This window comes from Homo sapiens, chromosome 10 (genome assembly GCF_000001405.40).
Source record: "Homo sapiens chromosome 10, GRCh38.p14 Primary Assembly".
NCBI lineage: Eukaryota > Metazoa > Chordata > Mammalia > Primates > Hominidae > Homo > Homo sapiens.
Genome location: NC_000010.11, coordinates 61973010 through 62000759, shown reverse-complemented (window position 1 = coordinate 62000759; position 27750 = coordinate 61973010). Strand labels below are relative to the sequence as shown.

At 40.2% G+C, this 27750-nt stretch overlaps 1 protein-coding gene and 1 long non-coding RNA gene across 2 annotated transcripts in view, besides 3 other annotated features; one reads left to right on the top strand and one right to left on the bottom strand.

The window, feature by feature from the left end:
• The window catches only part of ARID5B (AT-rich interaction domain 5B), a 195246-nt gene that overhangs the window by 96185 nt on the left and 71311 nt on the right, over positions 1-27750 (bottom strand). Inside the window, exon 4 of the mRNA NM_032199.3 lies at positions 439-669. Coding sequence (NP_115575.1) covers positions 439-669 — 231 coding nt within the window. The remainder of the gene's footprint in view (positions 1-438; positions 670-27750) is intronic.
• On the top strand, positions 310-2693 carry LOC124902435 (uncharacterized). Its single transcript, XR_007062155.1, has 3 exons — positions 310-413; positions 793-920; positions 2609-2693. It is a non-coding gene; the product is annotated as an uncharacterized LOC124902435 (long non-coding RNA).
• Positions 12348-12597: an enhancer, noted in NCBI's record as "active region_3402". NCBI's record gives its function as "activates an Ori minimal core promoter by ATAC-STARR-seq in GM12878 lymphoblastoid cells {active_cell/tissue: GM12878}" and the evidence as "EXISTENCE:reporter gene assay evidence [ECO:0000049][PMID:35858748]".
• Positions 13698-13837: an enhancer, noted in NCBI's record as "active region_3401". NCBI's record gives its function as "activates an Ori minimal core promoter by ATAC-STARR-seq in GM12878 lymphoblastoid cells {active_cell/tissue: GM12878}" and the evidence as "EXISTENCE:reporter gene assay evidence [ECO:0000049][PMID:35858748]".
• Positions 13837-14499: an enhancer, noted in NCBI's record as "NANOG hESC enhancer chr10:63746020-63746682 (GRCh37/hg19 assembly coordinates)". NCBI's record gives its function as "activates a minimal SCP1, AML or CMV promoter by ChIP-STARR-seq in primed H9 embryonic stem cells {active_cell/tissue: H9 hESC(primed)}" and the evidence as "EXISTENCE:reporter gene assay evidence [ECO:0000049][PMID:30033119]".

The following is a 27750-nucleotide window of genomic DNA, read 5'->3' as shown; positions in this document are numbered from 1 at the left end:
TGTTTTCTTTCTATCTATTTATCTATTCACTGTTTACTACTGAAGTGGTTACCATTGGTGCATTTTTACAATACCTTATAACAATGAAAAGAGAGTGACTAGTTAAATAAAAAAGCATTTGAATAGACAAAGCCTTTTGAGAGAAAAGTAACATGAAAGCTTCCTGTCCTAAAGTCCAATTTCAAGGTCGACCAAGCAACTTCAGACTCTACATTGAACAACAAATTATAAATAATCATCTCTTACTCATAGTAAACAGAGGCTACGAAGGAGGCAATGACGCCTTATGCCGCAATAATTTGGGGGATGGGAGGGGTGGGGCAGCACATGGGGCTTGTGAAAGTGAGCCCCGTTCCCCATCACCGCTCTTCAGAAGAACTGAAAACAACTAGGCACACACGCACAAGAATCAGGTAGGAAAAAAAAAAAAAGACTCACCAAACTCATCGCATATACTCTCGTTTTCTATGAGAGTCGGGTGGTCAAAGGTGTCCCGACAGTACAGGATCTGAGGGTTCCTGCTGACCACTGCAATGCCCCCCAGGGCCAATGCAAACTGGTCCGTTAGAATGGAAGATGGCTTATCCTGGATGCGTTTCAGCATCGAGCGGTACCGGCAGTACTGGGGGTAGCTGAGAACTATCACGTTCGTTTCTTCCTCGTCCTCCCCTAGACAAACGAGAAAACACTTCCATTACCCTCTTCCCTCTGACAAAGAACTTTCATGGCCATGGTATAATTTCAATAATCACTTCTGGTTTGGGACTAAAAAGACTCTCATCCTTGTTACAGTCTGGGGGATGCCAGCATCCTCCCAGCCCCACTTCACCCATCCAGCCCCACAGAATACGCTTCAGGCTACCCGCACAGTGGACCTTCTTGCAGAGAAAAGAAAAGAGTAGGCTGGCCCTCTAGACACAGTAAGTAATGTTTGTGTCATCAGCAAGCAGTAGGACCCAAAAACTGTTTTGAAAGAATCTTCATTTTTTGAAGCATTAAAGTCATCCTCATCATAGGGAAAGGTAGAACTTTGCTGGGCTTCTTTACATTTATTTCTAGTTTGGAATTGCTCTTATATTGGATTATACAGATGATCCTCAACTGAACGATGGTTCCACGTACAAAAGCAACATGCATTCAGTAGAAAGCATACTTTGAATTTTGAATTTTCATCTTTTCCTGGGCTGGTGATATGCAGTAGGACACTCTCCTGTAAGGCTTGGCAGGGGCAGTGGGTGGCAGCTCCCAGTCAGCCACGAGACCAAGAGGGTGAACACCGGTACTCTACAGTGTACTGTGTTGCCAGATGATTTTGCCCAACTGTAGGCTATGGCAAATGTTACAAGCCCGTTTAAGGTAGGCTAGGAAAGCTATGTGTTCAGTAGGTTAGGTGTATTCAATGCCTTTTCGACTTGATATTTTCAGCTTACAATTGGTTTGTTGGGCTGTAACCCCATAGAAAGTCAACAAGCATCTGTATAATCTTTTCAGTGCTTGGAGCCTCTGAAAAGGTCATCTGGCCCCAAAGATGTCCATGGGTCTAAAATGCATCGCCATCTGCTCTGGGGTCATGAGTGCTGTTCAGCAACTATTTCCTGTTCTCCTTTTGGGCCTGTGGAAAGCCTGTGTGCCTCACTCTCTTGGAGGCCAGTGGCCTTGTGACTTTCCTTGGCCAATGAAATATGACAGAAGTGGATGGTTGCTTTAAGACCCAGTGTACCACTGACCACAATCTCTCTTTGTCTTTGCTGTGACCATCTATAATGTCCCAGGATAGTGGCAACTCTGCCAGTCTGGGTCTTGGAGTAAAATTAACATGAAGCAGAACCCCTGGTTGATCCAAAAGAGACATATAACATAAGCAGAAAATAAACCTTTGTTGTTCTAAAGCAGTGGTGATTTGGGGGTCATTTGTTATTGCAGCATGATCTAGCCCAACTTGATTGATACACCCACCTTCTCCACCCTCCCCATACCCATACTCCTCTCTTTTAACGTTCCTCAAATCCATCTGGTAACTTGGCACACCTCAGAGAACCATGCTGGGAGGACTCCCTAAGCATTCTTGTGAGAGAGTTCTATCAAAACCACCTTAACTCAGGGGAACATTTCAGCAAATTTAGCGAAGCTTCCTCTTATAATGATCTTAATGCTTATTTACACCTCACTTTATTTTGTGCTCATTTGTAAACACCAGATTCTGCATGGATGAAGCCTTCCTTCATCTTAAGCTTGAGAAATGGCAAACACCGTGCTTTGGTGGCCTCCACCTGTACAACATCAAGCTGAATTTAGGCTCCATGACCCAGTTTGCCATCACTCCGCAACCACCCCATCAGAGCGGTTGTAAGCAATTCCCAGACATGTCACTTGCTTCTCCAAAGGGAAAACACTCAATATTTCAAGCCCTTACCATGCTGCAGGGAATTGCACTAGACAGTTGTTAAGGATACCGACATTATCATGGCCATCTGGTAACCAGTGGGAGACGAATGAGCAAGGACGGAACATAATGATGGAACATAACCAGTACCAATGGAAGGTGTGCATGTGACCTTTTCAGATAGGAGGCCAATACCCAGATGTATTTCTAATTATGTTCACTTAGTTCCTCAGGCTGGCGGCTTTTCCACGGATGGAGATGTTTAGCTGCTTACAAGATGACATCTTTTAACAGTGTACACGTCTTCAACTCCTGCCTGGTCTGTGTATAGCTGCTTTGTCAGCTGGCACACTTAATTAAAAGGAAATATGTTTACCTTGAAGGCAAGTCCCCCAATGCAAACTAGTTTTGAGATGCTGATATATGTCCCAAGGCATGCCCATCTGAGATTTTTACAGCAGACCAAGACGCTAAGTTCAAACTTTGGGTTCAAAACCGTGCTTTTTATACAGCTAAAGCACAAAAAGTTTTAGTGAAAATATTCAAATGCGGTCGTTTCTCCAGAGTTTTTAAGTGCTATTTCAAGAAGCAGCCCCCAATGTGTCAATTGTATTATTACACTCGATTTGTATTATACTCGATTTGTCTAAGACATTGTTAATGAGAGAGAGGCATATAACCATTAAGTGCCAGGACTACCCCTCATAGCACTTAACACCATCTCCCATACATAGTAAATACTGTGCCTGTAAATACCTGTTGATTCTAAAATTCTATCTTGGTTGTGCAATTAGCTTTCTATGATAGGGGTAAAGGTGCATCAATTTCTCCAAGTATTCTTGAAATAAAATGGAGAAAAATGTGTGTGCTCTCAGGTTGAAGGAGTATAAATGAACAGTTGCTTCAGAGTAAGTTTCATGGAAGATGTCACCTGGACTCTTGGGACCACTTCACTTCCTTCATATCCCTTCATTCTCCTTTTTTTTTTCTCTAACCATTTTTCATGATGATGCCATCTCTAACTGCTTCCCAATTCTCTGTTCTGGATGGAGTCGGCTCCCTGGCAATCTTCTGTGCCTAGAAATGACCTCTTTTTTTTTTCTCTCCACCTCATCCTAGTTCAAAACATTTAGATCACGCAGTACCCAAAACACTAGCCAAGTCATGAATCCTTCTCTTTCTGTTGGAAGAAAAACAGCAAGTTCCCCCTACTCTCAACTCCTACAACTGTCCGTGCATCCTGGAGACAGTGTTGCTAATAGTGGTCCTGGGACTGTCTGCATCAGAATCAGATACTGTGCCATCGAGAACCAGTGACTCAGCATCTCTAAGGCTGGGGTCTAGGAATTTACCTTTTCAACAAGCATCCCAAATAGCTCATGCACACTAAACTTTGAAACCAGTAACTCTGAGTTTACTTTTTTGCGAAGACTTAAAGTAAGGTTGTTAGTTTGGATTTTGAAATATATATATATATATATTTTTTTTTTTCAGTTGTCAGACTTTTAAAAAATTCTTATTTCTCTCCTAACCCCCCAGTACATAGAACAAAGAAGCAAAATCTCTTCTCTCTGCCACTTTTGCAGGATTGTTACAGATATCACAGAAGACAGCAAATTTTAAAAGCCCTCTTAACTAAAAATACGAGAAACAGAGAGACTGTTTCCCCATTTAGAAAGCAAGTATTAATGCTATTTCCAGTACTGATAATAAAACACTAAAATTCACAAAGGTTTTTTATATAGTGTTTTCACGTCTCTTTTGTTCCTCACAACAACCTTATTAGTGGCATTACTAGTTGTTAATATTCCCCAATTTGAGACTATAACCACCCAATCCTTTTTTTTCTTTAAGAGATGGGCCTCTCTCTGTTCTTCAGGCTGGACCCAAAACTCCTGGGCCCAAGCAATCCTCCTACCTCTGCCTCCTGAGTAGCTGGGACTTATAACCCAATCTTTGAACTCCCAGTTTGGTGGACTTTTCATTAGGATAAAATGTCTCAAATAATAATAGTAATAATAATAACAGAGATTTAACTGGTTTACACTATTAGGGACGAGGATGGTGGCCTTTGATCAAGTCAAATATAAGACTTCTGTTTGATGTAAGACTGTAGAATTCAGCCAGTTGGAAGCCAGAATTCTACTCTCCTTAGGTTAGCTTGTTACTTATTATTTTGGAACACTGCAATTTCCACTGTAATGATTTAACATTATTGATACATCATTCATGTACATTAACTTTCTACTTTCTATGCATGTGATAGGAAATAGTCCCAACTCTATGTGTTGCCAGCCTAGAACCCCTACCTTTCATCAACCTCCTTCCACACACTAAGAGGCTACAGGCACAGCTGGGGCTTGGTCTATTGTGGCAATGCTTGGTGGGGCAAAACACAAATGATAACTTTGTTGCTTATGAACAGAACCTCCCGTTTGGACCAGAATTTTGGCATTGTTTGGACAGAGGCAGATTTCCAACCTTGCAATTAGACATCCCCAGAGGAGTTGCCTTTAATATTTACCAAACTGGAGAAAGCCCACGAGACCTTGAGGACTCCTAGGAAAGTTTACAAAGCATTCTAAGTGAAAAGTAAAAGGGAAAGATACAGAGTCAAAGTGGGACCTGGAAAAGCCAAGGTTGAAGCTAGGTTGAAGTTTCACTGAGTAAAACAGTCTGGGTCCAGGTCTCTTCTTTGCAGTTTATTTTATTGGTGAAAACATTTTTTTTTTTCCTCAAGACAAAATATGGTCAACTTTATATGAAAGGTGTGTATAACAGAGTATAAAATTTTGAGTTTGGGGAGAGATTTCCAGATCTAAAATTCTGTGATCCTAAAACTGCCTCCTAAGCCTTTGCATTAAATTAACTTCCTTCTGATACAGCTATAAAAATACTAAAGTGTTCAATGGTCGGCATATTTTATTTTGCCCTAGTACACCAGGAAACAAATAAAGCCAAATAGTCCTTTCAAGAATTATTTAAATTCCTCGGCTACTTCTTTCTTGCCCACGCATTTCATATACACATAAGTAAACACTCCTGTGCAAAGTTACCCATGAAACAAGGGCTGCCAATAAATGCTGTGTAAGATATTTTCACCCTTCCAATTCATAATAGGGAAAGCAGATAAATCTAAGAATGAATAAATTGCACATTTGTTTTGTAAAAGACAAACAAAGTGTTCCTGGAACACAGATTTTCTTTCAACCACACCCATAGAGAAAAAGAAATCAAAGTACCCCTAGGAGTATTCTTCTAACACACTCTAGTTGGTTGTAGCTGGTTGGGTTACATATACGTTACTTGACTTCAGTCAACAGAAAATGATCTGTAATAAATTGCTAGTAACCAAGACTGAAATTTTAAACCATAATTATGATATTCTATTAAAATGTCATCCCATTCCTGAATTTCTCCTATACCAAAAAAAAGTGAATGCCTATTTTAAAATGAAACATTCAAAGGGAATAAGAGACCCAACATTACTAAACCTCATTTCAACTTCAATAAAAAGAACTTTGCCTATTAAAAGTTAATACCTAAAGTACACTGCTTGTAATGCTCAACCAAAATGACTCTTAATTACACGTTTTGTTAACCTCTCTCAATGTCAATTTTTTACTTATTTATATATTTCAAAGTCCGAAACAGAATTCCATAGCGAAACTGTAATTATAACATGAGACTCCACCCAAGCTTTTCAAACAGTAACTGTATACCATTGCTTTAATCCTCAGAGTTGGGCTGGGGGTGGGGAAGGAGTCGGGGAGAAAGGGTAAGAGCAGGCCTTCATTCTGAATAGCAGGTTGCTCAAGTTGTCTTTGTACAAAGAGAGATGCATGAAATAGCAAACACAATGAATTAATGGAGCATTGACTTTCAAATATCCATAATGCTATTTTTTGAAAATAGATAATGGCGGCCAAATGCACGGAGGCTGAAAACATAAATTCCAGAGGAGAAATTTGCTTTTATCTCTTACACAACAATTTAGAAATGTAACTTTCTTTTTCATTCTTGGGGTGAGGGGAGGCTTGTTTCGGAAACATCACACTATTATGCTTACTGAAAACCACTATAATCTACTTCTAACATCAGTAAGTTTTTTAAAAAAAATCTTTTAAAAAAAAACCTTCGCCCCAGGATTTTATAGAGCCTAGTGGAAAAAATATGCATGTTCCTTCCTGCACCTAATTACCTCAACTGAAAAATCTGCCAAGTATTTTGCCCTTTAGTTCTCTTAATCGTATTAGGGCAAATGCATTTGGATGCCAATAGAAACAAACATTTAAAGATTTTCACTTAAAAGATTCCAAATATGTATGAAGGCTAAGTTTGAGACACAATGTCCCTTGTGCTTCAAAGACAACATACAGTTTTCTTTCTCCTTTTTTTTTTAAAGGAAATATGAATGTGCTCACGTTATAAAGCTTGATGTCTAGTTTTGAAACAATTTAAGCAAAATAATGTCAATATGTGAGGTTCTCACAATGATTTATGCTTCCTCCTGTTACTTTATTACATTAGACATTCTTTTCTCAAAGCTTTATACTTTTCACTGTGCTCCTAGCAACCAACCAACGGCAAAGCATCAACTTTATATACCTGGCGCTATTCCAATTCTTACTGCTATTGACAATTATATTGAAGTTTCCATTTAATTGCTGCTCTGTTGTGACACCGAATATTTGTCACAATTAGGCATTTCCTATTTTCTGTCCATGCATTTTTTATTATTACTGAAAATGAAATTTTTATTCCAGAAAACCTAAGCATGAAAATTCTACAGATAAGAGTAGCTACAGCTGTTACTATCATTACCAACATTGTAACATGAAGAAAAAAAAAGAGAATATAATTTCTCGGAAGGTAATTTTCCTTTCAGTCTAAGTGCTCTTATTCATCTTGCAGTTACTCAATGATTTCCTGTTCTAATTACAGGACATTATACAGAAAGACATTTGTAAAAGGAAAATGCAGCAGAGCATATGACTAAATAGCTTGAATTGGTTGAAAGTGTTTAAAATTCCAAAGTTGTACATCAACTTTATCAATTCGTGGTTATAGCTCTATGTAAATGTGTACTGTGTCCTGCCGTATTTTTCAATCTCTCTTAAGGTAGTAAACTTAGTACCCAAAGTTAGTACACATCAAAGGGGAAAACACATTTGCAGTTAAACTGATGTTGAAGAGTTGGAGTCAGGGAAGATCAGTTGTGTGTGCGTGTGTGTGTGTGTGTGTGTGTGTGTGTGTATCTCCCTTCCTCATCAAAGCTGTTAAATTGGAGGCATGCCAAAACAAGGAGTGGAAAATATTAATAATAAAAATAAATTAAATGCCTGATTAAAAGGGAAAGAGAACAAGATTCCATCCGGAATAGAAATGAAAATGCCACAAACTATTTCATAAAAACAAACTGTGACGTAAATTACACATCAGTATTGCACTGTTGTGGTTATTTTGAGAAATGGTTTGTACTGTAAGTCAGCTGGTGCTGCCCCACCCTTAATGATTTTGTAATTCTCGACACAGTAAGCAAGTGGGGCAGCCCTGAGATTGCTGAGACAGAAAACAGAACTAGCCATACAGAACTGGCAATAAAAAGATAATGTACTTTTAACATAACAGAACAAGGAGATTGGCTTGGCTTTATTAACTAAAAAAAAACTACTTTAAATGGTCCCCAGCTTGCCATTTGTTTTGCTAAATGGAAACACAGATCTTCCCAGGATAGGCAACGAAAACATCACTGGAGAACTTAAAAAAAAGTAAATGTGGGAAAAATATATCAGTACATGGATGCAAACAAAACAAAGAATATTTCAAACCCAAAACCAAGGGTTTGAACCAGCTGTTTTCAAAAGCAAACCACTTAAAATAGAGGCATAGACAAATACAAAAATATGTATCAAAATGTTACTATCAGCTTTTGCCCTCACTATTGCTTCATCACTCAAGAAAAAAAACATCACAAAACTAAACTATAACCAAACACTGCTACCACTCTGAGTAACAAATGAACGCAGTGGGAAGAAAGCCAACTCCACCTCCAAGGTTGTCCCAAAGGGTCACTGAATTCTAAGCCACGACCGGGAGCCACTTTTTATCTTGAGAATTTTGCAGCTTATTGCCATAGGGTTCATCTTAGCCACATTTAAATTTAAATGTCACACTAGACAGGGATTATGCAACAGGTGAGACTTCATGGCCAGATTGACATGTAGGTAAAGTTGTTACCACATATGAGGTGTTATTCTATGGGGCCTGACTTACCTTAACTTGCTTCCCCGTCACATGGGTTAAACTTTGGCTAGAGTCAGCCATTCACTTTTTTTTTTTTTGAGACAGAGTTTCGCTATTGTTGCCCAGGCTGGAGTGCCATAGCGTGATCTCAGCTCACCGCAACCTCCACCTCCTGGGTTCAAGCGATTCTCCTACCTCAGCCTCCCCAGTAGCTGGGATTACAGGTATGCGCCACCACACCCAGCTAATTTTTTTGTATTTTTAGTAGAGACAGGGTTTCTCCATGGTATTTAAGCTGGTCTCGAACTCCCGACTTCAGGTGATCCGCCCACCTCAGCCTCCCAAAGTGCTGGGATTACAGGCGTGAGCCACCGTGCCTGGCCTCCACAATGATTTTTTAACCATAATACCAAAAGCACATAAGAAAACAACAAACAATAGACAACTGGACTTCATCAAAATTAAAAGCTTTTGTGCATCAATGGACACTATCAATAAAGTGAAAAGACAGTCTTGGAGAGGGGGAAAATATTTGCAAAGCATATACCTGATAAGGGATTAATAACTAGAATACATAAAGAACTCCTGCAACTCAGTAACAAAAAGACAAACCAATTTAAAAATGGCAAAGGACTTTGATGATTCTCCAAAGAATATATATAAATGGCATCTTAAAAAATGCTCTTCATTAGGGAAATGTAAAGCAAAACCACAGTGAGATATTACTTCACACCCAGTAGGATGACTATTATAAAAATGAAAAGAAAAAAATCCCAAGTGTTGGCAAGGATGTGGAGAAATAGGAACCCCTGTGCATTGTTGGTGGGAATGTAAAATGGTGCAGCCATGATGAAAAAGTATGGGACTTCCTTAAAAATTTATATACAGAATTGCCATGTGATAATTCCACTCCTAGGTATATACTCCAAAGAATTAAAAACAAGGACTCAAAAACAGTTATTTACATACCAATGTTGATTGTAGCATTATCACAAAATAGCCAAAAGGTAGAAACAACCCAATAGTTCCTCAATAGATGAACAGATAACAAAATTTGGTGTGTGTGTGTGTGTGTGTGTGTGTGTGTGTACAGGATAAATATTGTGATTCCACTTATACGAGGTATTTAAAAGTGGAATCACAAAACAGGGTGACTCATAGAGACAGAAAATAGAATAGAAGTTGCTAGGTGCAGGGGGTCTAGGAGGGTTGGAAGGAATGGAGAGCTATTGCTTAATGCATACAAAGTTTTTGTTAGGAATGGTGAAAAAGTTCTAGAAATAGATAGTGGTGACAGTTACACAATATTGTGAATGTACTTAATGCCACTGAATTGTGCACTTAAAAATGGTTAAAATAATAAATTTTATGTTATGTCTATTTTACACAACAATGACAAAGAGGGGAACATCTGGGAAGGGTTATATTTTCTGTGTAGATGCATGCTTGGTTGCTCTGGGGAGGAAAAGTGGTGTCTCTCCAATCCACAACTAGAATATATCCTGGAGGGCACAGAATCGGTGTCCTAATTCTTTGGTATCCCTCCTAGACCTTTGAGAGTGCTGACAAATGTAATTGCCTACAGACAGTGTTGCAGTAAACATCTGAGCCTTCTTCCAAAGGATAAGAGCAGTCATTTCATTAGTTCACCACAGGCTCTGAACCAATGACACTTCCTAAAAGGCTGAAGGAATCTGGAGAAGGTTATCTGCCCAACATGACTGTAGCCACTGCCTGGCAGGCCTTTTTTAGACAAAGGGTCATGTGGTTAGGCAGTCATCTCATTTTAGTGACTTTAAAAAATAAAATAATCTCGCCACTTGAGGAGTTTGTCCACCATGCTCTAAGTGCTGAGCCACCTCTGCAACTGCACTGACTTCTGGGAGCTAACATCTGTGTCAAGAGCACTTTTATAGGTTGCATTGTTTTCCTTCACCTTACCGCAGGGCTTCTGGGGCAGCTCAACAAGGAAAGAAGGGAAAAGGCCTCTTGCCTCTGTCAGTGACTCATCTTAAATCAGTGGTCTTCAAAATGGTGAATCTCTCCTTTGAGGGTACGAGAAGACTTTTTAAAGGGAACCTACATAGGGATGGGGCAGATCTTCAACTTAGATACTACTCCACTCCCTAATGCATCTGCCCAAGAATGAGCCAGCAATCAGAACAGCCCATCTCCTTCTTCACCCATCCTCCATCCCTAGTCCTATTATGAGCACTAAAGAGTCAAATCAAAGTATTGGTTTTGGAGATGCTTCCTTATTGATCTATCAAGGAACCTCAAGCCATAGCCTTTTGATCTTTCCCTTTTTGCACATAGTTCTGTTCAAGAGGAAGCTTAGCATTAGAAATAGAGTACTTTGGCCTGTGTTATGATGCTCTAAATTCAGAAAAGCCAAACTAATAAAGGTTAACGATGCTGATCCATTAAAGTGTAGCTGGAATGCACGGCAAGGCTACCAGATTTTTTGACATAAACTGCATAAACCTATGCATAAAAATTTTAGATAATTTATTTTAGAACTGTTGTGCTTTATTAAACACAGATTTAAACTTCAGATTTTTATCAAATCATATGTAATATGTCTTCTAATTATAGTTAATCACCATCTTATTTCATTTCCTATCATGTTTAACATTTTTTACTTATTAACACAAAATTTATTCAAAACATGATTAAAAATGTAGATGTCCACTTAAAACTGGGCAAAGGAATACATGGATTATTTTTTTCAAAAATCTTTTAGAGCAGCATTATTCAATAGAAACACAATGTGAGCCAACTTGTAATTAACACATTGAAAATGTAAACAGAAAACAGGTGAAATTAACTTTAGTAAGCTATTTTATCTAACCCAGTATATCCAAAATATTATTTTAACATGTGATCAATAGAAGTGATTACTGGCCGCACACGGTGGCTCACGCCTGTAATCCCAGCACTTTGGGAGGCTGAGGTGGGCGGATCTTGAGATCAGGAGATCGAGACCATCCTGGCTAATACAGCGAAACCCCGTCTCTACTAAAAATACAAAAAATTAGCCAGGCATGGTGGCACATGCCTGTAGTCCCAGCTACTTGGGAGGCTGAGGCAGGAGAATCACTTAAACCCAGGAGGCAGAGGTTGCGGTGAGCCGAGATTGCACCATTGCACTCCAGCCTGGGCGACAGTGCAAGACTCAAAAAAAAAAAAAAAAAGTAAAAGAAAAAAAAAGATTACTAGTGACATATTTACATTATTTTTTCATAGTAAGCTCTCAAAATATAGTGTGTATTTTACATTTATAGCATCTCTTGAAGTGGACAAGACACATTGCAAGGGCTTAGTTGTCACAGGTGGCTAGTGGCTACCTTATTGAACAGCATAGCTCTCTTTAGAGCGTCTGCCTGAAAAGAAATTTTAAAATCATTGTGTCCTGGGTCCGAAGAGGCACTTGGGAAAAATGAGGTTGTTCTGTGTACAGGTTCCTTTTGGCCAACTATCTTGAGATAAGATGTTCTGAAATATAGCTAGGAGAGGAGAACAGAACAGGAGGAAAAGCCTCACAGTGCCTGTTATTTCATTGTTCTGATACCCCAAAGCCCCAACAAAGACCCAAAGTTAGCAAGTATAGTTATTTTAGTAGAGATTCTCGCTTGCCACCTTTGGTTTCTGGTGAATAACAAAAATCAATTCAAAGTAAAATAATAATCTCTTAAAAGCTTCAACTGTTAAGACCTGGTGAGAGCCCTCTCCTCTGGGTTAAACATATCCTTCTGCTGTAACCAGCTACAGGTTCACTTGGTGCCATGTCCACAAAACCATCTGCTCTGTTTTCTGTCATGACACCCAGTTGTTCAGAATGGATATTTCTTTCTTTCTTTTTCTAGTGTGCACATTACTAAAAGTAATTTAACAGCTGAAAGAGATACTTATGAAACCTACTGGAAACTGAAACCACTATTTAATCTCACGGCAAAGCAGTCATATAAAAACTCCGGCACCTTCTAATGTGCTGTCACAGTGCACCATGGAAGAACATCATTGAAAGCTGATGATACAGATGTGCTCTGTTTTACTTCCTTTTTGTACAGGGTTAGTACTGAGTAAGCTGATGTAAGACAGGAGGAGGATGGCTCTAGTTTAGCCACCTTTCCCAAAGTACCTACCATCTGCTGAAAATCATTTCCACAGCAAATATCCCCTTTTCCCCAATCTCTAACATCCAAACCTACCTCTCTTTTCTCATAAAAGACAATAAACAAATTGCTCGTGACTACTATATTAATTCCAGTGATAGTTCTGTGGTTTCATACCATGAGTTACCAGTGCTACAGATCCCTGTTTCTGGGTATCTCTCAGATATTTCTTTAAGGTTATTTCTGTTTGAAAGGGTTGGCAAACTATGGGCCAAATTCAGCCCAACACCTGTTTTTGTAAATAAAGTTTTATTACAACATAGTCATGCACATTCATTTACATATTGTCTTTGGCTGCTTTTACACTACGACGGCACAGTTGTGTGATTATAGAGTGGTGCATTTGCCTCAGAGACCTTATGGTGCACAAATCTAAAATATTTACTATCTGGCTCTGCTGACCCTTGATCTAGAGAATATAGTCTTGCTGCCAGAAATCTGCTATTTTGGATCACGAATATCAGCTTAATTTCTAAGATACAGTTACTCTGTAACACTTGGCTGCATTTACTTGTTCAAGCTGGACTCTCCTTTCCAGAATATGGGTTCTTTGAAGGGCAGGAGCTAGGTCTGTAGCATGTCTGAATTCCTAACACCCTGGAAACAAGCGAAGCACATGATAGATTTTTAATTAATGTTGGTTCTTTTTCTGGTTATTCACTGTCCCTCTGTTCTCATCCTACTCCCGGATCTATTACCCATTCTTTCTTCCTTGCTCTGTGACCCCTGAATGTTGTATCATTGGGCTCCCTCATGGGCTGGCTGGCTTCTGCTTGTTCAGCCAATGGGAGACACCTAACAGATCGCATGTGGGAAAGAGTGAGAAGTTGTCATATTTCTTCTCTGCCCCATCTCTGCTTTGGCCTGGCAGCTCTGGCCAAGGCCACAGCTCCACCCTGACGGCAGCTTTCACCAGGTAGCACTATGTCTTCCTCTTGCTTCTTACTAGTGCCCAGATGTCTTCATGGTTCTTTTCACCCTAACCCCATCTCTATAGTCTTCCTTTGGTTCCTTTTGTTAAGCCTTGGGTTCCCAAACTGTAAAATGGACTTAAGAACAGTGACTTCCTGGGGGGTCTTTAACAGTAGTTAAAAGATGCAAAGTAGTCAGGCTAATGTAGCACACAGTGAACGCCCCGTAGGTACTTGTCTGATTATTGCTTTGCAAGCTGTTTTCCAAAGTATGCCAAGGAACACTAGTTCCTTGAGAAAGAAGGGAGTATGTTACCAAGGGTTATGTGGAAAAGGGGCACCACAGCACGGGAAACACTGAGTTTAACAAAAAGTTACACAAACAGCTTGGAGCCTTTAACATGCTAATGGACATTTTAATGCACAGGGGGGAAGATGCTGCTTTTTCTGACTTTATTTTACCATGAAATCCTCTCCCATCCGCTTCCTCACCCTCCCCCACTTTTTTGTCATTCATGGCTCACCTCAACAAGTTAGTGTTTCCCTGATCACATTTTGGGGACATAACACACCCGAATGTTGATTACAGCAATTGCCCTGCTCCCTTCAGCTCTCCTTCTCAGCACACACAGCCAGCTTAACACTGTATAATTACAAATAGTTTATTATGCATGGTATAATCACTCATCTGTATAACACTCCCAAATTTATAAAGCCCTTTCATGTGCTTAGATTCATTCAATCCTCCTAGAATCTCTCTTAGGGTCTGTCAAGAATAGTCCCATTTTATACAGGAGGACACAGGCAGCTCAATGAGGTGAATGACTTGCCCAAGGTCATCCAGCTAATGGCAGGGGCAAGTTGCCTGGCACTATTTTAAATCTCACACTGTTCTCAACACACCCCAGCTGCCTTCTGCTTGACTCTGAACCTCTGAGAAGAGCCCTGTCAGATTCATGGTATTCCCAGGTACCTCTCAGAGACCCTCCAGTGGGCTGGTGGCTTTGAGAATTCTCGTGATTTTTATGAGACGCAAATTTCTGGTTTCAGATTGCAGTATTAAAGAATCTCTTCCAGTCTTGTGTTCAAAACAATCCCTAAGTGAAGCTTGGTGTTGCCTTATTTGGAAGATAATCTCAAAAACAGATGACCATTGCACAGAACACACCTCGCCAGCACAATTCTTTACTTTTAACCCCTTAGAAAGCACATTTCAGCCTAAGTGAAGACAATGGTATTATTATTTCTCTCTATTACTTCTCCTCTTTTGATCCCGGGACAAAGATCCACAACCACCTGATTCTCATCATACACACGTAGCTCACACAATTGCACCCATTGTATCCTCAAAAAGATAAGATTAAAAATGATACGATTACATATATGTAATTTAATGTTTTTTAGGACACTCACAATGCAACCATCACTCCAATCAATTTAGAACATTTTCATCACCCCAAAAGGAAACCTCATACCCATTAACACCCTGGCAACTACTCATCTACTTTCTGTCTGTATAGACTTGCCTATTCTGGACATTTCATATAAATGGATTAACATAATATGTGGTTAAAAAAAAAGGATTTAACATCAAAATGGTCTTCCATCTATTGGCTGGTCAGACACCAAGGGAATACCTTCTGTGGATTAAGAAGTAGCAGGTGGCAAGAGGATAAAGACCAAAAGCCACCATCCCTCTTTAAAGAGGGGTGTATAGCCTAGAAAAGGTGGTGGGCATGTGAACAGATGTATTAAGTTGGTGCAAAAAGTAATTGCGGTTTTTGTCATTAAACAGGATTGCAAAAACCGCAATTACTTTTGCACCAACCTAATACAAGTAAGTGTTCTGACAAGAGTCACAGCAGAGGCAGAATCTTGGTAGCAAAGAGAGTGAAGAAAGTCTTCGCAGGGAAGAGAAACCCCTCAAGCTAACTTTTGAAGGATACATAGAAACTCCCCAGGCAGATTAAAATACCATGACTCATTAATCTTTCCAGCCTGTCAGTCATGAACATTCTCTCTCCTCCTTTGGGCAGCCCTAAGGAAGTTATTATGAGCCCCATTTTTCAGATGGGCAAACTGATGCCAAAAAGAGATTAAGTAATTTAACAACAGTCACACAGCTAAGGAGGCCTGGAGAATAGATCTGGGCCCAATGTGTGGGTCTGCCTGCCCCTGCTGCCTCAAAAGGTCAGAAGGAGAGAGGAGAATCTCCTGTCCCCAGGGCTGTAACTGGTATGAACCAGTGAGGACTCTGGAATTTAGGTGCTGTGTCTGAAATACGGGTTTGGAACTCTGAGAGAACCTTGGTGGCAATGCTATGGGTTTTCTATTAAATCCTGAAGGCAGCGAGGCTGCGCTCATGCATGGTAGTGATGGGCCTACTCTCCATTCCAGCAAGAGTGGAGGATATATTGGAGGATTGTTGTACCTAAACCTTAGCCTTCATCTTCCTCCTTTCACTCAGCTGACTGAGGCCCCCCCCACCTGCTGCCTCCACATGAGCAAGCTCCACTGGCCCCAGTTCAAGGAAGACCACGTTCAATGTCCAGATGAAGTCTCTTCAAGGGAGAAAGAGACCATGCAAGCAGCATCTGAGGGCAAGATCCCAGGAAGAGTAACCTAAGTCTCCTTATGTAGATATGCAAGGATAATGTCTATGCTTTCCTCATGCAGTCAGCGAACCTTTATTTGGTTCCTACTCAGTGCCAAATGCTGTGTTCAGCAGTGGGTTTACATGGGTGAACATGACAGCACCTGCTCTCAGGGAGCTCCCAGTCCTATCCTCCATTGATGGAGAAAACAGATGAGACTCCAGACCAAGGAGGAGTTGGTGGCTCCCAAAGAAACAGTGGAGCCCAGGGGATGAATAATTAAAACGTAAAGCACATCCCAGAGCTCAGCACTTTGAAGGTGTTTATGTCCCAGCTCTGAAAAAGATGTTCTGTATTTCATCTCTGAGTCTGAGATTTTAAAAGCTATGGTTGGTACAACAGTAAGAACAAAAGGGGCGCCTGTAGTCCCAGCTACTCGGGAGGCTGAGGCAGGAGAATGGCGTGAACCCGGGAAGCGGAGCTTGCAGTGAGCCGAGATTGCGCCACTGCAGTCCGCAGTCCGGCCTGGGCGACAGAGCGAGACTCCGTCTCAAAAAAAAAAAAAAAAAAAAAAAAAAAAAAAGAACAAAAGGGGGTTTAAAAAATATAATTTGGATTATGACTGGGTTCATGCAGAAGAAAAATGGATACATCAAGTACATAGTCTACCATTTAAATATTTCCTTTTTCATTTTTTTTTTTTCTGGCACTTGGCTTGCCACAACTTCCATGGGGCAAGTGCTTCATACGCAGGTCAGCAGCCGAGATCTCTCTCAATAATGAACGATATTACTAATATAAAATTTGCCTCAACTGAACTTCAAACCTGATGTGATTTTTTTTTCCTCAGGTGGGATGTGGACAGAGAACATCTATATAATAGGTGTTATCATTCAGGAGGCCTAGACTGAACCAATACTTTGCAGCTAAATGTAATTTGCGAAGCACAATTTAACAGCTCCATTTAGCGACTTTTCACAATCAAGATGATTTCAACAGTCTCTGAACGCCAGCCAAGATACCACCAAAGTATACTTAAATACCAGCAAATATTACATTTTATAAAAATTCCATGTTTGTCTCCTCCGATTTAAGAAAATCACTACTCTTTCTTATCCTTTTAAGTCAAAGCCATTGCAATTCTTCAATTCTAAATGGGAGGAGGAGGAAAGGAAGGGCTTGGATGAGAAAACTGAGGTTTGTATTTCCTAAAATTAATATTCATCTTCCCCTAATTCTCTTTTTATTGGCTGCTAAGCTTTCAGGTCCTTACTTCAAGCCGAGTGAGACACCCAACACACCCTTTCCTTGCTCCAGTAACAAATTTTGAAACTTACAGGACTTCCAACAGCAGTTATTTTAAGGATTTAGTCAGAGGCTCACACAAGCAGCCTCTGAAGGAGCCTCAATATGAGGTTCTAGGCAGCCAAGAAAGAGTCTCTGAGATCCACCAGATCCCTCTACTTTGCCCCAACCTGCAAATCAATCTGGTTATTTAAAGTCATCCTTACTCTTTCTGATCGGAGGGCCAGTTTCTAAATTAAAAAGCAACATAATTCATCACCTTGGCGGGGGTTTATTTCTTATTGCAAGTTGGTCCGTGTTTTGAAATCTGGAAATAAAATCTCATCTTCTTATGTACAATAAGGAGAACAAAAGCAAGGGGCTTCCAGTGTTAGGTTACCATTTCCCAAGGCCAGCCAAATACCCTCCCACCTTTCTCTAACAGCTTCTAAGGCTTTGGAGCTGGAACAAATATTCTCATGCACAAGTTAGTGGAAGAGATTCTTCCAATCAAATTTCCCACCACATGATATCTTGGGCTAGGACGCTCTTTTATAAGTGTCAATGAGTTATTCCCTCATGGATAACGATGAAGAGACTACTTTTCTTTAGCTGTAAGAAATAATTTTTATCTTTGCTCACACCTTCTTTAAAAGCATTTTTTTTAACTCAGAATATATAAATACATCCTTGTTGTAAAAGACAAAGTAATGACTCCCTTGACCTCCTCGCAAACCCTTATACTTTAATGGAGGCTTATGTTTCCACTTCAACAGAGCCTTCTTGAAAACTGGAGAACAGTTGTTCTTGACAAGAAGGAGGCCAAGAAGAAAAGGGAAGAAAACTGGTCCAACAATTCTAGCTCGGTTCTGGGGTGTCTGACTTTTTTTAAAAAATCACCATGAAATAACAGCCCTCTTAATTCTTCTAGAATGTAATTTACTTAGCACAGAGGCAAAAACATCCCACCTATCTGATACACTGTGACAACTCAGAGCACACGGCAAGGATGCAAATCTGTGAAGACAGCCAGCTCTAATCTAACCCCAAGTCTCCAACTCTATACTGCTTCTTCCAACACGTGGAGAAGTGAGAATGATTACATTTTGTTCAAAGTGTCTCATTACATTGATTTAAATAAGATTTCCAAACCTGCAAAAAGAAAAACAGCTTAAAATGCCATTTGTCTTATACAAGACTCTATAAAAAGGCAGGTAGTGAAACCCTGCAGAAACCCAGGTTGGTGGGGACCAAAGTCTCTCCCACCATGGACGTCTGACAGGAGGATAATGGAATTTAGTAACACCTAGGTGAGGTGTTTCTTTTCTGCTTAATGCATCCTTGGATGACCAACATAATGTAACAGACAGGTGTTAAGAGACCTGCATTGAGGAACAGACATTGTGGGTTTTGAGATCATAAACTTGAGGAACTTGTTCCATCTCTGAGAAGATCTCACACACCTGAACAGGTAAGATAAGGTCCAGTTTGCAAACTGCCAAGCACACTTCCTGATGTTTATTAACACCACAGTCATTATGACATTTAATGCCAAACTACAGGGAAAAAAAAGATAAAAACCTCAGGCCAGGCATGGTGACTCATGCCTATAATCCCAGCACTTTGGGAGGCTGAGTCGGGTGGATCACTTGAGGTCAGGAGTTTGAGACCAGCCTGGCCAACATAGCAAAACCCTGTCTCTATTAAAAATATAAAAATTAATTGGGTGTGGTGGTATGCTCCTGTAATCCCAGCTACTTGGGAGGGTGAGGCAGGAGAATCGCTTGAACCCGGGAGGCAGAGATTGCGGTGAGTGGAAAGTGCGCCACTGCACTCCAGCCTGGGTGACAGAGCAAGACTCTGTCTCCAAACAAACAAACAAAACAAAACTCAGGCTACCCACCAAGAGTGTTCAGTTATTGCACTGTCCTGCTAGAATACAGCTGCCTTTGATTGAACATGCACTACAGACAGGCAAGCTCTAAGCCCTTGATGTGTATTTCATCACTGTAGCAATCCTATGAGGGATAAGTTTACTGCTTCCATTTTATAGATGAGGAAATTGAGGCTTAGAGAGATTAAGCAACCTGTTCAAGGTGACTCTGGAACCCAGGTCTGTCTGATTCCAAAGCCCACAGTCATAGCCACTGCTTATAAGTTCTGAGAGAGGCCTGTGCCCAGATGAACCGATGACACAAAGGCAGATGCCACGGAAGCAGCACTGAGAACAGACGCAAGGCAGTGGAGGTGCCCAGAGGAGCAACCTACTGGGTGAGTGATGATATTTGGGATACTGGCATCCTAGGAGACAGGACAGTAGTCACTGTCCTGGGAAGCCATGTTCCTCTCCATTCCTGTTCAGGGTCAGCACAAAACCTGTGATTTTGGAGGAGGCAGAAGGGGGGCCCATCTTGGGTTTGCCATTCTAGTTCCTTCACTACCAGCCAAGTGGAGGCAGATATTTACTGAGCACAGCAACACTTACTATTATTGTAAGAGAGGGCTTTGGAACCAGGAAGCTCGATGAATTTATGAGATCAGCAGCTATTTTTCCAAGATGGTTATAATACAATTCATTTCATTTGCAACTGGTTTAACGTGAAACATTGTTTAAGAGAGACAAATAAACAACAATTCACATTTGCTGGGCTTCTCTCCTCCCCACCCCTCCCAGTTGTTCCACAGGAAATTTTTTATTGATTAAAGTACAATTACATTAAGGTTGGGAAAAATCAGCCCCAGAATAAATCGTTTTAAGAAGAAATCAAGGCGATGCCTTATGAAGAGGCAGCATAAGGAGGAGAAATATGAAACAGGCACTGGATTTGTAACCATGGGCAAAGAAGGGCTTCATTCTCTGGCTCTGTAAAATGACAGAGTCACTGTCTTCTAGGGAGACTGTGACCAGGTAAAGACAGCACTGCCTGTGGCTTCCATTAGCCTCTAGGCACTTTGCCCTCCTGAGCCCCTTCCTCCATAGGAAAAGATTAAAAGTCACATTTTAGGACTACATTGGTACACAGATAAATATATAAATAATGTATTAAAACATATTTTTCTGTTTTATTTTTTTGAGACAGAGTCTCGCTCTTGTTGCCCATGCTGGAATGCAATGGCATGATCCTGGCTCACGGCAACCCCTGCCTCCCGGGTTCAAGTGATTCTCCTGCCTCAGCCTCCTGAGTAACTGGGATTACAGGCATGTGCCACCACGCTTGGCTAATTTTTTGTATTTTCAGTAGAAACGGGGTTTCACCATGTTAGCCAGGCTGATCTCGAACTCCTGACCTCAGGTGATACGCCTACCTTGGCCTCCCAAAGTGCTGGGATTACAGGCGTGAGCCACCACGCTCGGCCTAAAACATATTTTTCGACTGAAGAGGTCATCGTGTTTTCTTCTCGTTTTAAAAGGACTAAAGGCATTTTTGTGGGTCCTTAAAAGTACTATGGGCCCTAATCACTGTGGTTGCTGTGGCTACTGTTTGTGCCAGACCTGGATAGAGGGTAGACCCCTGGTTTGCTAAGGACTTGGAGCTGGGGAAGGACATTTGGAAGGGCAGTGGTCCTGGCAGTGGTGTTCTGCAAAAGGGGCCTCCACGTGGGAGACGCCTGGAGAAAAGACCTCCAATTGGGAACCAGTTGAAGAGTCATGGGGAGAAGTGTTGGCTGGGAGTGATGACGTTAGTGTTTGCATGGAGTGTGGATGTAAACCAAGCCCTCCTCCAGTTCTCCCATCGACTCTGTGAAATCCTTCCTACGATCTACATGGCTCACCAGGAACACGGAATTTAAAAAACAAAAACAAGATTGGATTCCATGATGTCTAAAGTCTCTGTTCCTGCTCTAATATTAGACTTTTCTTCTTTGCCACAAGTATTTAAATAACTGTTCCACAATGCCAAAAGTTGCTTCCTCTCCCAGAGGAAACTCACTAATGTAGGACCTAAGAAAGGACTTTGAGGAACTCAGATGGCTTGCAAAAATGCATCACTGTCCAGTGCTGCAGAGGTTTGGGTGCAGCACCTCCCACTGGCAGGCCATGTGTACTCGGGTCTCCCGTGGAATTCTCCCGATGAGCTCTGTGTCGTGGCTGGCTGCATCTCACACTCAGTACCTTTGGAAGTTTCTGTCCCACAGGTATCTCAAAATAATAAGAGATATTTATGACAAACCCACAGCCAATATCATACTGAACGGACAAAAACTGGAAGCATTCCTTTTGAAAACTGGCACAAGACAGGGATGCCCTCTCTCACCACTCCTATTCAACATAGTGTTGGAAGTTCTGGCCAGGGCAATCAGGCAGGAGAAAGAAATAAAGGGTTTTCAGTTAGGAAAAGAGGAAGTCAAATTGTCCCCGTTTGCAGATGACATGATTGTATATTTAGAAAACCCCATCGTCTCAGCCCAAAATCCCCTTAAGCTGATAAGCAACTTCAGCGAAGTCTCAGGATACAAAATCAATGTGCAAAAATCACAAGCATTCTTATATACCAATAACAGACAAACAGAGAGCCAAATCATGAGTGAACTCCCATTCACAATTGCTTCAAAGAGAATAAAATACCTAGGAATACAACTTACAAGGGATGTGAAGGACCTCTTCAAGGAGAACTACAAGCCACTGCTCAACGAAATAAAAGAGGACACAAACAAATGGAAGAACATTCCATGCTCATGGGTAGGAAGAATCAATATCGTGAAAATGGCCATACTGCCCAAGGTAATTTATAGATTCAATGCCATTCTCATCAAGCTACCAATGACCTTCTTCACAGAATTGGAAAAAACTACTTTAAAGTTCACATGGAACCAAAAAAGAGCCTGCATGGCCAAGTCAATTCAAAGCCAAAAGAACAAAGCTGGAGGCATCACGCTACCTGACTTCAAACTATACTACAAGGCTACAGTAACCAAAACAGCATGGTACTGGTACCAAAACAGAGATATAGACCAATGGAACCGAACAGAGCCCTCAGAAATAATACCACACATCTACAACCATCTGATCTTTGACAAACCTGACAAAAACAAGGAATGGGGAAAGGATTCCCTATTTAATAAATGGTGCTGGGAAAACTGGCCAGCCATATGTAGAAAGCTGAAACTGGATCCCTTCCTTACAGCTTATACAAAAATTAATTCAAGATGGATTAAAGACTTACATGTTAGACCTAAAACCATAAAAACCCTAGAAGAAAACCTAGGCAATACCATTCAGGACACAGGCATGGGCAAGGACTTCATGTCTAAAACACCAAAAGCAATGGCAACAAAAGCCTAAATTGACAAATGCGATCTAATTAAACTAAAGAGTTTCTGCACAGCAAAAGAAACTACCATCAGAGTGAACAGGCAACCTACAGAATGGGAGAGAATTTTTGCAACCTACTCATCTGACAAAGGGCTAATATCCAGAATCTACAAAGAACTCAAACAAATTTACAAGGAAAAAAACAAACAACCCCATCAAAAAGTGGGCAAAGGATATGAACAGACACTTCTCAAAAGAAGACATTTGTACAGCCAACAGACACATGAAAAAATGCTCAGCATCACTGGCCATCAGAGAAATGCAAATCAAAACCACAATGAGATACCATCTCACACCAGTTAGAATGGCAATCATTAAAAAGTCAGGAAACAACAGGTGCTGGAGAGGATGTGGAGAAATAGAAACACTTTTACACTGTTGGTGGGACTGTAAACTAGCTCAACCATTGTAGAAGACAGTGTGGTGATTCCTCAAGAATCTAGAACTAGAAATACCATTTGACCCAGCCATCCCATTACTGGGTACATACCCAAAGGATTATAAATCATGCTGCTGTAAAGACACATACACACGTATGTTTATTGCAGCACTATTCACAATAGCAAAGACTTGGAACCAACCCAAATGTCCATCAATGATAGACTGGATAAAGAAAAGGTGGCACATATACACCATGGAATACTATGCAGCCATAAAAAAGGATGAGTTCATGTCTTTGTAGGGACATAGATGAAGTTGGAAACCACCATTCTCAGCAAACTATTGCAAGGACAAAAACCAAACACCGCATGTTCTCACTCATAGGTGGGAATTGAACAATGAGAACACTTGGACACAGGAAGTGGAACATGACACACCGGGGCCTGTTGTGGGGTGAGGGGAGGGGAGAGGGATAGCATTAGGAGATACACCTAATGTAAATGATGAGTTAATGGGTGCAGCACACCAACATGGCACATGTATACATATGTAACAAACCTGCACATTGTGCACATGTACCCTAGAACTTAAAGTATAATAAAAAAAAAAAAAAGAAAGAAAGTTTCTCTCCCACAAACACAAATGAATTTGGATAACTCAAAATGGAACTGTGAAGTGCTACGTAATTTAAGATCCTGTGTGGCAGAGAGTCACTTATTCTGTAGTTCAACATTTGTAAATCTTGCAAATATGTCTATTGGGTGTTGATGCTCCAAACCACCTTCCACTGACTCAATGAACATTCTCCCGCTGGCAGAGTTTCAGCGGCACCACCATCTTTGCCCGCTCACCAAGGTTAGGCACTGTTTGAGAATTTTATTCATTTTCCCCATCAGTATGTACCACTTCGATGTTTCAACAGCATACACTCTAAAAAGCAATCCATCTGCTTTTTTCCATTGGTACTATCCAAACACCAATTTCCTGAGCCTTGGCATTGTGCTTCATTAGGGAGCAAATATACACAGTTATTTAGGCTTCCACGTGTCTATGAAATACCCCACTTTACCTTCCAAACTGGCAATTAAAGCCATTTACTCTGGAGCTGGATTATCCAATAGAATAGCTTCTGTTATGTAGTTGCAAAAGTAACTGCAGTTTTTGCCATTATAGCTGCATGCGGCAATATAAAGTTAAATTAATTAGAACAAAATAAATTTTATACACTAAAAATTCAGTTTCTCAGTCATATTAGCCACATTTCAAGTGGTCAACAGCCATGTGTAGCCAGTGGTACCTTACTGGACACAGAACAGAGATACAAAATATTTCCATCATTGAAGAGCATTCTATTGGCAAAGTATGCCTGAAGGCATGGACATTTATAAAGGCAAAGACTACATTCCTTCCACCACTGTATTCCTAGTGCTTAACCCAGGCCCTGTCTGACATGTATTAAAAGCTCTAATAAATGCTTAAGGAACTGAGATTCTTCCTCTCTAAACATGGAAACAAAATGTGATTCCCCCCAAAATGCTGAATTAGACAAGGAAGAAGTAATAAATACAAAGAAATAGCTATAATTGGAAAATTGTTTCCATACTCAAAAACTAGAATTCTATTATTAATATACAAAAATTATTTCTAGATCGCTCCCTATGAAAGCAAAGAGTGAATAAGACTATTGCTCAGAATTTACATCCATCAGCTATTCTCAATATTAATAGACAGGCAAAGTCACCAAAGACAGTGTAAGAGTAATGCAATGACAATAGTTCTAATAATAATGATGGTACTCATGCAATATAGACCATTTAATACTTATAAAACCCTTTTCAAATCTTTTAAATAATTTCAATCTCACAACAATTTTGCAGGGTTGGAATTCTTATACCCAGTTTACTGGTAGCCAAAAAAAAAAGAGGATCGGAGACTCAGTGACTTGTCTAGGATGACTCAGCTGGTAAATGAGAGAAAAAGACATCTGGCCTCAGGCTTTCTAACTCCAAGTCTTTCTCCTCTGTCACAACTGCTACACTTTGTGCAGACATTACCCACTGAGCTACTCCCACTTTCTATTTATGCTGTTAAGTGAACTGGGATCCTTTTAAAAAACGCAGACCTCTACTTCCAGTGTGTTGGAAGGCCAACTAATCGATTGTCCTCCTTAATAATAATTTTTGGCTTCTGCAATATTGAGGGGCTAATCTTTGGTAACCAGAGGCTCCAGAAACATTATTAATGTATCACCCAAGAAACCATTTGTTCTATGGATTATCCATCTCAAACAGTGGTTCTGAAGCATGATATACTATGCTCTGGGTTGCACAGCTGCTTTGCATTTTGAATTCTTTATTTATAGAACAAGTCAAATTAATAACTCAAAAATGTTGTTTCAGGCAAAGTAATGGACACACAATAAAACTATTCATTTCCTAAAAGGTCACTCCAGGAGATGCATACATTGTTTAAAAGCCTACCAACAATGCTATTATTCCTTCGAAAACTGAAAATGTGTAATAAGCAGTTAGAGCACATATCTGCCCCCGAGACCCCAGGCTAATTTAAAGTACAATCACAAGGCAATCAATCATACTCCAAAATTACTTCATTTTCCAAACTGTTTACACTTTTTAAGTTACAAATCCACTTTCTGCTATTTCAACTCACGATTTACAACTACAGATTTAGACCGCTTGGCAAGCAGCCAAGCACTAGTCATGAGGGAACTAATGATATGAACAGATCAGTGTTTTATAAAGGAGAAAAGCGCATGTAAATTTCCAGTGTGTCTGCAAGTAATCAAGGCACTGCTGACTATAAATGAGACCGTCTCAAATTTATTTTAGGAGAAATATCTTAAAGCTGTACTTTTTATCCAGGCCAAAAAAAGCCTTTAGGAGGAACTCTGAGATTACTCAAATTATTATAAATAAATGGTTATGTGAACAATATGGAAAAATAGTGAAATAAGTGACTTATTTCAACATTCCTGTCCCACATACCCTTATCATGATTTCTGGAATGCTAGAGTTAATGGGAAGAGGGGGAAAGATTTGTTCTCCTCTCTCTCTTTCTCTCTGTCCCCCACTTAAAATGTGATTGTTAACCATAGCAGCAAATCAAGTTTGTTTTAGTAGTCCAGAATACTCAGAACAAAAAAGACCCTAGAAGATATTGTTTTAAAATTAAATATGATCTTCATTGTCTCATTACAATGGCACAGCCAAATAATCACTTTGCGTTATTTGTACAAATAATGTAGAATGCTCATTGTCTTGCGGAAATAATTACTCTGGTGTATCATATCCTGCTTGTTGTCAAAACCTCTCCCTTTGCTGTCACCAAGCATGTGCATTGGACTCCAGAGGCTAAATTTAGCCAAAGTTTCATGTGTTCTTATATGTTAAAGAGTAAAGCCAAGTAAGCATATTCAGATGTGCGGGTGCCTTAAAGAGAGAAGCTCAAAATAGCCTCACAGTATATACATCGCAAAAGTCCATTCACTGTGATTGATATTTTAGTTAGAGAATCATTACATGACTAAACTCGATTTTATAATTGGATAAGGCCAGATACAATAAACCCGCACTGCACTGTAAAAGCATCTTACATCTTCAAACTATTTGTAATAATAAATCAACCTAATTATTTGAAATACTGTCTTGATGTGGAAAAGAAAAGAAATAAAATAAACTAGCTGCCTGAATATCTCATTTTATTTTCTAAGGATCAAGCAAAGCTTTTTATTGGCATTAAAGCCTAGCTCCACAATGGCTGGTAAACCATACTCTTTAGATAAAATTGTACACACAGAAAATCAATAATAAAGATTAAAAGCTTCCCCCCTCCCATTTTTTACACTGGCATCTGGTGTGTGTGTGTGTGTGTATGCATGTGTGTGTGAATTTAAGTATGACTAAAAATAATGATCTTCAGGAACCTGGAGCAACAAATGTAGCCCCAGTCTATTAAAACTTCAATTTATCCTTGTTTATCAAAAAAGCCACAAATAGTGGAATGAATGTTTCCAGTTCTGAGTGATTTCATAATGAACTCCCCAGAGCCCTGGAGCCCCTGATATCAGCATTGTGACATCATCAGGATAAATGCTCATTGGCTACAAAACCTTTTGGGTTAACCCTTTCACAGAGGGTCTCAGCCCATCACTTTGCTAGTTTTCTAATGAGGTTCCTCTATTCCCCTGTAAGAGCAGAGACTGGAAAAGAACGTCACCACCCTTTTTCCCCTCCCCCGCCACATACAAACAGCATAGACCCAGAACATTCTAAAGGGCACTGGGTATGTCTCTTCAACTGGAAGCCTTGATACAAATATAGGCCCTCAGAGGCTCATTGTGGATGGTTCTCATAGGTAGAGGAGGGAATGATCAGGAGCTCTCTTAGTGTTGGGTTGTCTTTCCTCATCATAGTCTGAGAGCTGGAGATAGAATTCTGGATAT